Source organism: Homo sapiens, chromosome X, assembly GCF_000001405.40.
Source record: "Homo sapiens chromosome X, GRCh38.p14 Primary Assembly".
Lineage (NCBI taxonomy): Eukaryota > Metazoa > Chordata > Mammalia > Primates > Hominidae > Homo > Homo sapiens.
In genome coordinates, this window is record NC_000023.11 from 132,478,737 (window position 1) to 132,493,603 (window position 14,867).

The 14,867-nt window shown below is 41.5% G+C and overlaps 1 protein-coding gene across 24 annotated transcripts in view, besides 2 other annotated features; it reads right to left on the reverse strand.

Annotated features, from left to right (window-relative positions):
• Window positions 1-11,299, reverse strand: part of MBNL3 (muscleblind like splicing regulator 3) — a 120,716-nt gene extending 109,417 nt beyond the window's left edge. For 11 of the 24 annotated variants that reach the window (NM_001386916.1, NM_001386918.1, NM_001386917.1 and 8 more), the window contains exon 1: window positions 11,078-11,299. Coding sequence is in view for 1 of the 24 variants with exons in the window: in XM_047442251.1 (XP_047298207.1) it covers window positions 9,611-9,613 (3 nt within the window). In the remaining 23 variants the exon portion in view is untranslated. Of the gene's footprint in view, window positions 1-9,610; window positions 10,303-11,077 lie in introns of those variants that run through there. The other 13 variants (NM_001386914.1, NM_001386911.1, NM_001386902.1 and 10 more) reach the window with 2 other exon arrangements.
• Window positions 10,581-11,150: a silencer, noted in NCBI's record as "silent region_21007". NCBI's record gives its function as "represses an Ori minimal core promoter by ATAC-STARR-seq in GM12878 lymphoblastoid cells {active_cell/tissue: GM12878}" and the evidence as "EXISTENCE:reporter gene assay evidence [ECO:0000049][PMID:35858748]".
• Window positions 13,096-14,295: an enhancer, noted in NCBI's record as "CDK7 strongly-dependent group 2 enhancer chrX:131625860-131627059 (GRCh37/hg19 assembly coordinates)". NCBI's record gives its function as "activates an origin of replication core promoter dependent on BRD2, BRD4, P300/CBP, MED14 and CDK7 cofactors, with strong dependence on CDK7, by STARR-seq in HCT116 cells {active_cell/tissue: HCT116}" and the evidence as "EXISTENCE:reporter gene assay evidence [ECO:0000049][PMID:35650434]".

Sequence of the window (14,867 nt, forward strand, 5' to 3'; positions counted from 1 at the left end):
CATTATGCACTAATGAGTTGTTGCCTACCACTTGAAAATTACAATGATAGAATAAATAGGCTTTTCTAATACCACAAGGTAATGCTGTTGGCTCCAAATACAGTAGAGTAAACCTATATTAATTTTGACACCACTAGTTTAGATTGTGATAACTGAACCTGAATCAGCTTGAAATATGTATTTTAGATTACCTATAAAGAAAGGTTTTGCTAAACAAAATAATAATGTCCGGGCCCGGCACGGTGGCTCACGCCTGTAATCCCAGCACTTTGGGAGGCCAAGGCAGGCAGATCACCTGAGGCAGGAGTTCAAGACCAGCCTGGCCAACATGGTGAAACCCCATCTCTACTAAAAATACAAAAATTAGCATGGTATGGTGGTGGGTGCCCATAATCCCAGCTACTTGGGAGGCTGAGGCAGGAGAATCGCTTGAACCTAGGAGGCAGAGGTTGCAGTGAGCTGAGATTGTACCACTGCACTCTAGCCTGGGCGAAAGAGTGAGACTTCAACTCCAAAAATAAAAATAAATAAATAAACCCATACATACATACATACAGCTGTGTTGCTAATTATAAATGTTTGTAAATATTCAGGCCAATCTACTTACAAAAAACGTTGTTTGTTCTTAGTCCAAACCAGTTTCTAAATCGAATACGGTCTTTCATCTGAGCTTTCAAAATTTTAGTGTATCTTAACATTCAAACTCAAAAATGTTCAAAAATTAAAATCATATTTTGAAATATATATTTTTTTGTTCATCAGCCGCTTTTTTGTTTATAAATCTGCTCTGGGCATCATCTAATAATAACAACAGTAATGAGTATACGGTTTATTTGTGGAACATTTTAAACTTCAGAAAACCCTTTCACTTTTGTGAACTGGTAATGACCAGCAATCCCTGGATTACTGAATATTTAAAAAGCATGTAATGACATTTGCCAGACTCAAAAATGAAACTTAATATTTGGTTTGTTCTGCATGTAACAGATTACTCAATCCCATGAAGAAATGCAGGTGTCTGGCCATCAGTGATTGCCTCTATTTCAGAGATTCAGCCCACCCCTGCCATCCCCCCACCAAATTTGGAAGATATGAAAGAAATTTAAATTTCAAGATAAAGGACCAAGCCAAGTCATGGAGTCAGGGGAGTTGGGGGTGGGGGGCGCTGTCACATAGCCTCCTTTATATGGAGGTACCTACCAAAGAACTCAGAACAGATGTTTGTCTTTTATAAACATTTAACTTTTTAGCAAATTGAAGGCTTAGGAAGCTAAGGGAGTGAAGGGCAGGCCAGGAAGTCAGGGATTCCTGGATGTGAACCCAGCCTCGATCTTATTCTGTTTTTGCTCTAAATCAATGCCAAACTGTTCACACCTCAGCTGCTTTATAGCAGGCAAGAATTATACTGAGGACAAAACTGTTTCCTGGAAATGTCATGGGTTAAATGATTACTATTACAGCTCTCAATGGTACTTCCACTAAAGGCAAAGCACTCTTCATGTATATTATTTACCTTCATTATATTACGAGATCAAAGTAAAATATCTGTAACCTGCTAAACTGACCCTGAAAACAAACCATTCTTTCCATTCCTTTCCAAGTTTTTGTCCACTTTACTAATGATGAGTTATTCAACCAATTAGGAAACTCAATCATGTGATATTAAAGGTTTTCAAGTAGCTGTAACACCTCTGAGTTAAGAATTATCTGGCAGACGTTAATGGCAAATTCAGGGCCCTCAACTTTATTTGGCCAGTCTCTATTGGACCATCGACCTATAGGAAATGCCCTCCCATCAAAGGCCCGATTTGGCAACCTATGAGAAAGAAGTAGTTTGTCCCTGTTAGGAAAAGTAGCTCCATTGTCCATATGGATGAGGAGGCACCACATCCATACCCAGCTCTGCCCATGGTGCTCTGGGCTCTTCAAAGGGCAGAATGTGGTTTCACTTTCTCCCCACTGCTTCATGAGAAAAGCAGCCTGGTCGCTTCCTGGCATTTAATGAATGGTCCTCTCTCCGTGGATTTGGACTGTTGGTCCTTCCAACCAGTCATTAGCTGGCAGGAAATGCCCTCCTCAGCAATCACTATTGTGTAAATAAAGCCATAAACTTTCGAAGGCCCATGCAATCCCAGACCACAAAGCTGCACGTGTGGTGGGGGAGGGACCTTGATTGTAAAAGCACTGCCTTCCAAATTAAACTCAAACCACATGATACAGTTCATAAAATATACAAAACATGCAGCCCAGTGACAGATTTATTGTGGCCTTACAGAATAAAGAAAAAAAAAACTCTATATGGAAAACACAGCTACTTTTGACTCAAATAGCCGCCAAACAGGAAGTTAAAAGCAAATCAGCCAGCTGTGGCCTCACTAAGTTATGAGGGAGCCCAGTGCAACCAGCATTTCCTGTCATTGCTTGTCACCGTTTCTGAGTGCCTCTGTCTGAACTGTTTTCTTAGATGGCTAAAAATATTACAGAGATTTCTTTGGGGATAGACACAAGGCAACAAGGAGGCCTATTATATGATCTAGGCTTGAAAGTGAAAAATGTAACTTTTATCCAAAAAACATTCACTTAACACAGGTTACAGATTCAGTCACTTGAACCACTGCATTTTAATGAATATTGGAATAAAAGCCCACATTTGTAAAAGAATTTAAAATCAGATCTTAGGTTGCCTAGCTGTTTCCTGTTAATTTAGAATATATATTCAGAACCACAATTTTCATGTGCCTGATTAGTAAATGACAGAGCTGGAGACTACAATATCCCAGAAATCTAGCTTCTTAGAGTTTCTCTCATCATCATCATCATTGTCATCCCACAAAATGACTTGTGCAAGTTCAAAGTATGTGCATGAGAGTTCTCTAAATCAAATCACATTTTAGATCCTTTTATGATGTGATGATGATGATGATCACACTCTTCACAAAATATGGAGGTAGTCTTGTCTTTTTTTCAGCACTGTGAAATGCCAAGCCCTAGGACACATCTTTCTAGCCTATCCACTTTTCAATCACAAAAGAGCTTTGGAGGGGGAGTTTCAGTTAGAAAGCAAAAGCATTCTGCCCTGGTATTGTTGCTGCACTGAATCTCAGCGCATCTATATGAATTCCCCAGCAAAACCAGGTTATTAAACATGGGGTAGAGGGGCAACTTGCGAGTCAGTCAAAAGTCCCACCAAAACATGGATAAACCTGGAGGACATTGTGTTACATGAAATAAACCAGGCACAGAAATACAAATACTGCATGTTCTCACTCATATGTGGAAGCTGAAAGAGTTGATCTCATAGAAGCAGTGAGTAAAACAGTGGTAACTAGAGCCTGGGAAGGGTGGGGGTTGGGGAATAGCCAAAGGCTGGTTAATGGACACAAAACTATAGCCACATAGTGGGAATAAACTGTAGTGCTTTACAGCACCGTTGGGTGATGATAATAACAATTTAGTTTATGTTTTCAAATAGCTAGAAGAGAGGATTTTGAAAGTTCCCAACACAAAGAAATGACAAATGTTTGAGGTGATGGATATGCTAAATACCCTGATTTGATCATTACACATTGTATGCATGTATTGAAATATCACATTCTACCCCGTAAATATTACAATTATTGTCAATTAAAAATATACATATAAGTTTATAAAAAGAACTCCCAGACCCTCCCTCTAGTCAATCCACAGGCTTTAGCCCTTCCTCCTCATTTAGATGGGTAACACTGATTTTCAACTCATCTTCTATGGCGAGCGGGACCTACCCTGAACTTAAGTTTAGAGGCAGACATGGAGCCCTTCACTGCTCATACTGGTCTCCTCCCTGGTTCTGATGTCATGTCTAAATGTCGTGATGACCATTTACCTAAGGCCTCAAATTCACAAACTGCCTCACATGCAGATGTTTAACACTATCTCCAGATCAGGTTATGTATTTTGACCCTACATTTTCATTTGCATTACAATGTTAATTTAATAAATGTAAACATATAAAGTACACCACAAAAAAGTCCCGCCAAAATCCAAGGTCTTTCTCAAAAAAGGCCCTCCCTTGACGAGCCTGTCAATCTGAGTCTGGCCTTGACCCTGGCTTCAGAAAGCGAGCAGAGTGCATATTGACACAGCCTCAGCCTCTGTCTGCAGCTGAGGCCGCTGCTATAGGCATTCATGAAACATATCAGATTACACAGGCATGGTACCCCAGTCCCTCCCTAATGATTTTATTGGGAAGTCCTTAAATATAAAATGTAACTCTATAACATGTACTATGTTTCACTTCATATATCTGGGTGAGCTAATAAGGTTTCTCTTCATGTTGTCCAATTACTTAGGGGAAAATGCTGACATAAAGGAGTTGGGAGTTTAATTTTTTCTCAAAATCACTTCTGAAAGAAATGCCCCCATCCTTTCTTCAGGATCCTCATGGATCACAGACAGCAAACAATTTTTAAAATATCAATGTACCCTTTAACAAAACAGCACCCCCAACTGGGCCATTATCAAGTGCCTACTTTTCAGAGGACGAATACAAACTCTTCACTTGGGTACTGAGGTTAAATGTGATCCCCACCTCTGTGCCATGGGTCTTGTTGAATTTGTCATTACATATTTTAAATGGAACTCAGAAAAACCAGTGTATAGTATATGAATCCAACCTTAAAGCAACCACCTTAATATTATATATTGTGACAATCCCATTTTCCCCATTGGTAAATTAAGTAAGGAATTATTTCACGAGATACATGTCCAGTTAATATTCTACAGGGTGCTTTTGTTTTGTGTTGTTTTGCTTTCCTGCGTAGAAGCTGAGTACTACAAAACAAAAGGTGAAATGTAAGCTCTCTGGTTCTTTCACTCTTTCATTTTGCTAATAGACTACCCCTCCCATGCCACTCTCCAACATAACCTCTTGTTTGGTTACTTTGTACTGCCACATAAGGAGAAATTGCAAGCGCTAAACCTAAAGACTGATTATCCTCTGGGCACAAAAGATGATTGTGGTGGATCTGAAATGACAGCTCTTGTCTCTTCTACTGTGTGGACTTTGCTTTCTGTACACAATAAAAAGAGGCACTATTCATACCTGTATCTTGGTAAGTAAAAACCTATGCAAATCCAGCCTCTAAATGGGCAATCAACATCTGACTGAAAATGAGACAGCTCCCAGTGTCCTTTTTGGATTTTGTCTGTAACTTCATCACTTCCTAAACTATACATGACAGGAGGCATCAGAGTCACAGTATTTCTGATTTTTTTTTTAAATTTTTAATCTGGTGAAACAGTTAAAGAACTGTTTCTATGTAAACATTTCTTTGTAATGAAGACTGATATCCCTGGGATGTGGGGGAGGTATTCTAAATGCAACTACAGGTGAAAGAAAAGTAGCAGCTGGCTTTCAGGCCAGTCCTCAAGGTCTCAGCCCCAAAGCTGGCACTGCTTGCATCTCCCTGGACTTGAGTTGCTACTGTGGCCTCTAGCAGAACAGTCATTCAATCTAGCGTTCAGTCTGCTTATTGGTGTTGATTTTTCTTTTGTCAATAAAAAACAGAAATAATGCTACAAGGAAGAATGTTCGTAACATGCAAAAACAAGTTAGAAAGATTAATCTAGTCTTTCATTTATTTAACAAACTTTTACTGAGAACCTACTATCTACCAGGCATTAGGGATATGAGGTAAAGAGACCCAATAACCTCTGCTTAATGAATAGTTACTGGTACATTCAAGGAAACCTGAGTAAGCCTGAGGAAACCTTTCTCAATTTTCCACACCAGTTGAAGGCAATGCCAAGAAGCTCAGGATTCAAGAATCCAATGTGGACAATTTTAAGCTAATTTGTGATCCTAAATGGAAAACAAAATCCAGCCAACTATCAGACTCCAGGATGCTCCCATGGCTTAAAGAGATCAAATGACCTCTAGTCTCTACTGCCAACCCCCTGCATTTCTGTCCAGGTTGCCTTTTCTCTATGGGAGGCCCTTTATTTCTAAGCCCTTCAAGTTCACTCACTGTCTGGGCAAAAAACAAACTCCTGCCTCAAATCAGAAAACAAATAATTCCTTTTCCTCATGAGCCAACTTAATACTGATGCAAGTAAAACTTGAGAGTTGACATAATATTTTAGGAAGCATGTCAAACTGAGTCCTATGCTTGGGCTTCCTGAAAATCACCATACACATACAAAGGGAGAATACACACGCGCACACACACACACACACACACACACATTTAAATCAAGCCTCCTTTTATTCTTGCTTCCTCTTGAGTTCTGAGCAAAGCATCTTTTTATTTTTTATTTTTTTCTGAAAGTTAACTGCCTGGAGTTGAACATTCAAAGCCCTGGTTCTTTTCCTGAGCCTCAGAGTGACATCACTATATCAAATATTTATAATAGTTTACAGTGAACTTTTTTATTTCATTCTTAGAATTGGAGGAATACTGTAAAAATATTTTCCTATAATCTTCCAGTGAGAAAGCAATGCACATCTGTATACATTGTTTTGAATTGACCACTAATTTGTACACTCATGTACGTGTGTGTTTGTGTGCCCAGGCAATTTGGAAGTCCCATTATTTCTCAAATAAAAATGATAAGGTCCTACTTCCCAGATTGTATTGTTTTCTCCATCAATCTTTTAAAAACAATGTCACTCAATCTAATACCAAGCAGATCTAAATGATGAGTTAATAATGCATTTTTACTACAATGATCTGAAAAAATATTTTCTTATCCCTTTCAGGTCATGTGGATGTTATTAACATCCATTAAGACAACTGATACCTTATTTATCCTAATTCTCAAAGTTGCCTTTCCAACACTGTCATTTGGCTATCTTGAGGCAATAGATAACCATTTAGGAAGAACAGAATGTCATGGAACCATCTGGTATCCTTAAGACCTAAAAGCCCACATTATGAAAGATCTAATTGCTTTCTTTCAGTTATAATTTATGTTTGTTTGCTGGTTGGTTAATTGACAATTAAACAACTTGCTCCCAGACACAGTTTCTTCTCTTTCAGGAAAAGTGTCCATCTCATTTTAGCTGAGGCTCGGGTTTCTTTCTATATTTGAAGTGAGAGCTATATCACACCTAGAGAAAGGCAGAAAAATCCCACAAACACAACTTCTGATTTCTATTTTCTTGATATCACATACATTTGAATGAGGAAAAATCCATCTGTTTTGCCTAGTAGACAATGTCATAAGAAAACTCACCAGCATGGAAGAACCTTGATGAAGTAAAGGTGAGTGTAGCCTTCATGCTCTTACAGACACTTGATAATGTTAACATGGCAGTGACCATTATCTAACTTTAATTACAGGATGAAATTACTTGTCAAAAATGTACTATAACTTATGTACTGTCAGCTATGCCCCAATCCCTGTTTGTAAGCCTATCAGGCAACATTATTTATTTGAAAACAGAAAAATTCTGCCACCTTCCTGAATTTATTGTACTATAAGCAGAATAAAAGTAAAATGTTATCAATAGAAATCTTCATCATTTTAGAGCTTCTCACTCCATTCCCTCCCCTCGTCCCTCACACATAAAGGCAGCTGGGTGGAGAACAAAACTGTACTAAACTATACTGTCAACATCTGCACAACAGTCAAGAGACTGTCACTGTTCCAGCATGTGTGGTACTATACAATCACTCAAAAGACAAAACCTTTTTTATTCCCAAGCTGCTGTGATACTGGGAAGTATCACAGTGAAGCTGGAGAGATAATAATACACCTACTGGTCAAAAGCATGAAGTATACAAGTGCCTGGAAGTACAATGAGAGGCAAGAGAACCCTTTAGAAGCAAATACAATGCAGACAACTAGGGGAATGTACATTCTACTCTTCTTTGAATGTTTAGGTTCTTGTGAGTGCATAAAAATGCCTTCCGTTTAAATTAAAAGCTGTACCCAAAATCTATTCCACTGTGAGTTTATAAGCTATTCTTCTTTTTAATGTAACATTTATTAAGCACCTAGTTTGTGCAAAGCATTATCTAGGTAGAGGGTGGTGCAAGAGAATACCAAAGGTCCTTTGCTACCAGCTCATAATCATAAAAAGCAGCTGTTGTGAAATGCCTGAAGTGGACAGTTGAGGAAAAAAAAGGTACTTTATAATAGTCCTGGGAGTCATTACGATTGCTTAAAGTAGCAAAGGAAATTAGAGAAATGAAGTAGCTCTTAGAAGTAGAGCAAAACATGCAGTCACCACCTCTAGCCCAGCACTATATCAATTATCTCTCAAAACATTTTTTTTTTACAAACTCCTTCACTTATGTTTTCATATAAGGTCTCCAATCTCATCACTGTATGAGGCAGCAGAATGTTAACTGGCAAAATTTCCTAATTTCTCTGACACCAGTTTAGCTTGTCTATTCTGGCCTCAAGGTTTAGTATTTTCACTTTTCTTTCTTTCTTTTTTTCTTTTTTTTTAAGGATGCATTTGGTCCGAAGTCTTTTAGCAGCAAGGTAGCACATCCGGAAGCAAACAGTACTGAACTGGGATCTAAGTCCATAATCACTAAAAATGGGAGAAGTTGCTTTTTCTCATCCTCCCTTTACCAAAATGCAAGTGTTTATTGCTCTACCTGCAGGAACTCTCATTTTAGACATGAAGCAATGAATTGCCCCACATACTTCTTTCAAGAATAATATGAAAAACTGCTGAAAATTTGTTGTATAGTAATTCCATTGTAAACAGTTTGGTTGTTTGTTTCTAGGTAGACTACAGCACCTGGGCAGAAAACTGCACCATGCTTTAATAAGGGCAAAACAATATTTTTCTCCCTTTCCACACACTTGCTAAATTTAGTAGCAGAGCGTCTGCCAACCAAGTAGTTTCTACTGCTTTGGGAGAAGGAGTGAACAGCGATAGAATATTATCAGCTGAGCTGTGGGCAGAAGCCCATTTTAGTCTATATTTGAAGAAGTGTTGGTAAATATGAAAGCATCCCCCAAAAGTATCGCACATTAGAAAAAAGTTAAAAATTATTTTAAAAAGTAGTTAAACATTCAGGATTAGATTTTCATGGGCCAAGGAGAAGATGGAAATATAATCAGGAAAAATCCAAGGTGTCTGATAAGCCTCATTGTCTATTTACCTTTCACTGGAGGGGGAAACAAAACAAAACAAAATTCAGATAAATTGTATCAAGCATGGATGTTTAGTCATTCCCACATACCAACAATCTGTTTTCCAAACATTATATCAGTAATCACCCAAACGTTTATTCACTAAAGCAGGGAGTCCGCTTAATAAAAAAAGTACCAATCACTTCAAAATTAAATCTTGCAAGTTTTGTTTTAATTGATTCTTTCCCATGAAGTCTACCCACAAATACGGAGAGGCTGTGGGGATCCCAGCTCAATTTACAAACGATGTAAGAACATCTAGGAGAAAATAACTCCTTTAAAACATATTACTTTAATTAGAGCCACAATTAATTTATCTGTTTTATCTATCATCTAGCTAGCTAGCTAGCTAGCTAGCTATCTAAGAGTGCTCAGAAAAACACACAGTAGGTCTATTACCCTAATTATGAAACCACAACAAAGAATCACTTAAATGTCAACTTTCATTACTCGTCTGGGTTTAATTTCGTTTTCTTACCATAAAAGCTTATTGTGTGAGTGTTAAAAACTAAAGTTCCCTTTTTAATAGTCTCCTAAAATCTACTCTCATGCCCTTCAAACCCCAGTAGTAAAAGCGAGCTGCCCAAACGTGTTGACTCAGGGCAGGAAGAGACAAGGTTCTGCAAGGAAGCTGTGGCACTGCTCACGATATCGCGTGAAAATGGGGAAATTCGTTGTTAAAAAGCATTTGCTGATTATATGCCATGCAAGAAGTTCCTTTAAATTAAAAAGAAGAAAGTAGAAAAAAAGAAAGAAGGAAGGAAGGGGAGGAGGAAGAGAAGAGGAGGAAGAGAAGGAAGAAGAAAAAGGAGGAGGAGGAAAGGAGGAGGAAAATGATCAAAGCTCTAAAATCGCAACAAAGTTGCAGGATGACTTTTCCTCCTATTTGCTATTTTGTAAAATGAAGTTTAAAAGGCATTATTTCCTCGGCGTCCGAGGAAGGCAGCCTCTCTTACAAATCCCAATTCATCTCCAGCCTTACCTTACGCTGCTAGCGCAAACCCAGAGGCTAAGGGGCCCTGCTCTCAGCGGCAGCAGCAGGGGCAGCGGCAGCGACAGCGGCACATGCCATCTGTTAGCGGCAGAAGCAAAAGCAGCGCTGCGCGAGGTGGCCCCGGTGCCGGGAGAGCCTTTAGCAGGGGTGCATACTGAATGCCGCCATTTTAAAGCGAGGTTCCTGAAATCATTAGATATAAGCAAATTAAAGCCCGCCCCACCTCCAGAACTTCAGGGCTGGGACTTGCAACCCGGCTCCAAGTCGGCCGCTCTGGGGTATAAAATGTCAAGTCTACAGACACGCGCACGCTGACTCTCGGACGGAGGCGACGGTTCCCCCTCTCCCTTCGGCCCCCTTGACCCCTTCGTGCTTTTTGCAAGACTCCTTTCGGTTCCAGGGGCCAGAATACTTTCTTTTCTGGGCTCCTCGAGGCCCCTTCCCGGGGCCGGCCGGCGGGCTGTGGGAGGAGGGGACAAGGCCACGGGCCGGCCCTACCCGCTCCTCCCAGGCTCTTGGTTCAGTCCACTCGGAGCACACCTCGGAGCGCCCCAGCTCCCTCGCGGAGGCCGGGCGTGGGGCTCCCGCCCGGGCTCGCAGCTACCATAGCAACCCCGGTCCCAACCCCGCCCGGCCTTTGCCAAAGGCGTGCCCTCCTCCCGGGCCAGTGCCCTCCGCCGGACGCCAGACGTCCCCTCGCGCAGCCCCGCCGACCCCAGGCAGCCCGGGCTGGGGCCGCGCCTCCGTGCGTCCCGCGCCGGACAGACGCGGCACGCGGAGGGAAACGGCGCCAGCGAGGGGCTTTAGGCGCCAAAACGGAAACTCCCGCGAAACTCCGCGGGCCAGCGGAGCGCGGGCGGGCATCCGGAGCGCCGGACTCGGAAGCGGCGCACGCGGCCGCCCGGCCCCGCCCCGCCCGGCCAGGTAGCGCGGCGCCGCCGCCAACCTCACCTGGCTCCGCGCGCCGCTGCGGGACGGGCGGGAATGCGGCCAAGGGCCGCCCCGGCTCCCGCGCCCACCCCGGACTCTCTGGCCTCCGCCTCTCTCTCACTGCTCCCAAAGAGCGCCAAAAAGTCGCGCTGCGGCTCACGCTCGGAGTGCGGGCACTTTCTTCCTGTAGGGCGCTGTTTCGTCGCGAAATATATTCTTTGTGTGGTTCGCTCACTCGTGCCTGGTTCTCCGAGAGCGCAGCGCGGGCTTTATTCTCAGGGGGTGTGGCGCCTCGCCCCCAAACCCAGCAGCCCAGCCCCCGCTGCACAGACCCTTTGTCATTTCATTAGGAAGGGAAAGGGGGACAAATCATAACGCTCAGATTTTACAAAAGCGAAAACAAACGAAGCAGGCACACATCCCCAGAGGCGGGGTTGGGGTAGGGGTGCAAAGTTTCTGGCTCTTCAGGAACTGAAGTGCCAGTGAGAAAGGCAGTGTGGTTCACAGCGGGACGCTCATAGACACTTCCCAGACAGGTGAGGCGAAATGGGTCCTTTCAAAATTGATCTTAGTCGATGAATAAGTCCACTCGCTACAGGCTAAATAAATACATTCATACTCACCAGCTGCCTTCTTGGGGGTTTTATCTTTCATAAATGCCCCAATCGTTTATTTCCCTCTAAGAATTTCAGACAGGGAAATGCTGATCAGTGCAATCTGTTCCCCTTCTTCCACGGAGTTTGCAGGATAAGAGGAACCCTGAGGTAAGGTTCCAGATACTTTGGAAAATGGACAAAGCAAATGCAATTTTATATCTTGATTAAAAAGTGTGCATCTGCACAGGGAAATTACAAGTTTCGATTTAATGCAAGTGTAATAGGAGCACCAGCTGTCCCTTAATTGGAGCCCCACAATAATAAATGCGTGCTTTTATTTAATTTTACGAAGACAATTGTAGTTGATAACGCACACATATGCAGGATCGTCAGTGACAAGCTCATAGCAATTCATGGCTGCTTTCCTGTAATCAGCTACTTCACCCAGAGACAGAGTTCTACATGCTCTGCACAAAGTGCAAAACATTGCAGGAGATATTTAAGCAGCAGTTAGGTTGAAAAGTGGAGTGAATTCTCAGGCTAATTATACTTTTTAATTCTGATGGACTGATCCAAATAGAATTCTCCAGCTAATTTTAGGCAAGAAATCAATCTGTTTGTTAAGTGCAAGATAATAGAGTAGGATGGTAATGGCTGGGAGGACAAGACTGGGTACAAACTGCCCTTCAAATAATTGAGAAAACCCCCGATGGTTTTGGCAAGTATCGTGAAAGTCATTGGGACAATGCGCAGGGATGGTGTCCGATACTTTGTTATACTGGGTAGAAACATAGCATAAGTCAAGAGAGTAGGAGTTGCTAGTTATTTGAGAAAAGGGGGAAAAGACTCTAATTCCTAACCACCTCTTCCCACCTTCCTTCAAATTTGCCGAATTGCCTGAACTGCTGTAAAAGTCAAATGTGTCTGACATACAGGAAGTGGCTTTGGCAGTCCCAAGATCTACCACAGCAAAAAGTAGGCAGTGTTGGCTATCACAGTCAGCTAGAGAGAAGGGCATGGGTGAGTTACATAACTTTATACCCAATGCTCTAACAAATGAGGAACTGTTATCACAGTGAGTCAACAAAGGAGTCTTTATATTAAACATAGCTTGGGTCAACACCAGCTCTCTTACCTCTGTCCACCATTGCGAGCCACATCTGTGGGACATTCGGGGTTTTGCTAATAACACAAAAACTGGCTCAATCTTATTGAACTGCTGAAATAATTGTTTTGTCTTAAATTTAAGGCATAAATAGGTCAATTTGCTATTTTTTGGGATACTATAGCTTCAACATTGTCTCCTGCTTTTAATTTCTGGCCAGTGAAAATTGCAAATGAGACTTTATTATTCTCTCTTTCCCACACTGGAGGGGAAAGAAACCTTATAAACAAAGTTTAGCCTGGTAAACTGCCTTCCTTTTATCCAGGGTGGCATGACCTCCACAAATGAAGCTAGGCAAATTTCCATGCCACCAGGCCACTGGGGAATGTTGTCAAAGGCACTAAGAAATTGCTATTCCCTCCCCTCAGCATTTTAAAAAGGCCCATTTGCTCTCTGGGGTGGACTTACCTTGGAATTACTTTCTTTCCATTTTAGTAGAGTAGTTAGAGCTAGCCAACATTTTCTCTTCTGTTCTTCTCTTTAGGCATAATTGGTGGCATGACCCAGGAAAAATAGGGTCGTGTACTGACTGATATGCAAGATGAATTCTTACAATAATGTATGTACATTATAGTCTCAGAATACATATGCCTGTTCCCCCATTGCGTTTTGAGATCACCTGACAACCACTATCCTGATGGATCTTCAAAAGTCAGTGTCTTGCAACTCGGATTGAAAAATTAAGTCCCTGGCTGGGTGGAGTGGCTCACACCTGTAATCCCAGCACTTTGGGAGACCAAGGTAGGTGGATCACTTGAGGTCAGGAGTTCCAGACCAGCCTCGCCAACATGGTGAAACCCCGTCTCTACTAAAAATACAAAAATTAGCTGGGCATGGTGGCACGCACCTGTAGTCCCAGCTACTCAGGAGGCTGAGGCAGGAGGATCACTTGAGCCTGAGATCGTGCCACTGCACTCCAGCTTGGGCAACAGAGTGAGACTCTGTCTCAAATAATAATAATAATAATAGTAATAATAATAATAAGAAGAAGAAGAAGAAGAAGAAGGGAAGAAGGAGAAGGAGAAGAAGAAGAAGAAAGTCCCGTCCTTCTCTCCTACTCAGTCAAATGCAGGTGTGTAAGCAAACATTTCAACAAACCTAGGGGATATGCTTTTTCTGCTCTATGTCTTAACGCTTGAGATGGACACTTACACAAATGTAAGGCTAGGATTCTGGGTAAGGATGTAGTAACCTCTCAAGTAGCATGTTCTTCCAATAAATATAATTAACTTTGATGTAGGAAAGAATTCTAAAAGTTATGTGATGGTTTAATAACGAAACGATTATTGTACTCCACCACCAAACAAATGTTGCTGTATTTTTAAAGATGTCGCATAGGTGAAAAGTTAAACTCACGCATATATGAGTGAACCAGGGTCTTGAGAAGTTTTTGAACTTTCAACATATTCGATCAGAATTATCCTTTCACTCCTCTGCTAAGCCACATAACTCATTTATTATTCTTTGAAACAGACAGTCAACGTGTGCTATTGGACATTCAGGCAAGGCCGTGCTATGGACAAAAGGTGAAACATGTTTTTCTGTTTTGAACTTGTGGAATTATTCTCACTAGCCTATCAACAAGAGTATTATTTGCTACTGCTGTGTTCTAGCGATGGCTCCACAGGCTCCAGCCCCACAGCAGTATTTGTGGTCATTCCATACAGAAGCCTCTGGCCATTTAAGGGTGGTTCAAGAGCTAAAGACACTGATTATTCATTCATTCCTGAAGAGTCTTTTTCATTCAGAGTTGGGAATTTGGACTTTGGGGTTCAACACAGAGGTTCCTACTAAATAAACAGGAAGAAAGCAGAATCTGGTTGTTAAAAGGGTTTAAACAATCAAGTAAATGTTGGCTTCCAAGGTAACCCCTCTGTAAAATGTTACAGACTGTATTCTTACAGAAGAAACTATAAGGCAATTTAGTAACTAGTTGAATGCAGAAACAAATTGCAAGCATAGATAATAAATTGATCAATAACTCTCAGGTTGCAAAGAAAATTTCTGGAACTCAGTGTTTTTTTTTCACATGGACAAAATTGTCAGAATT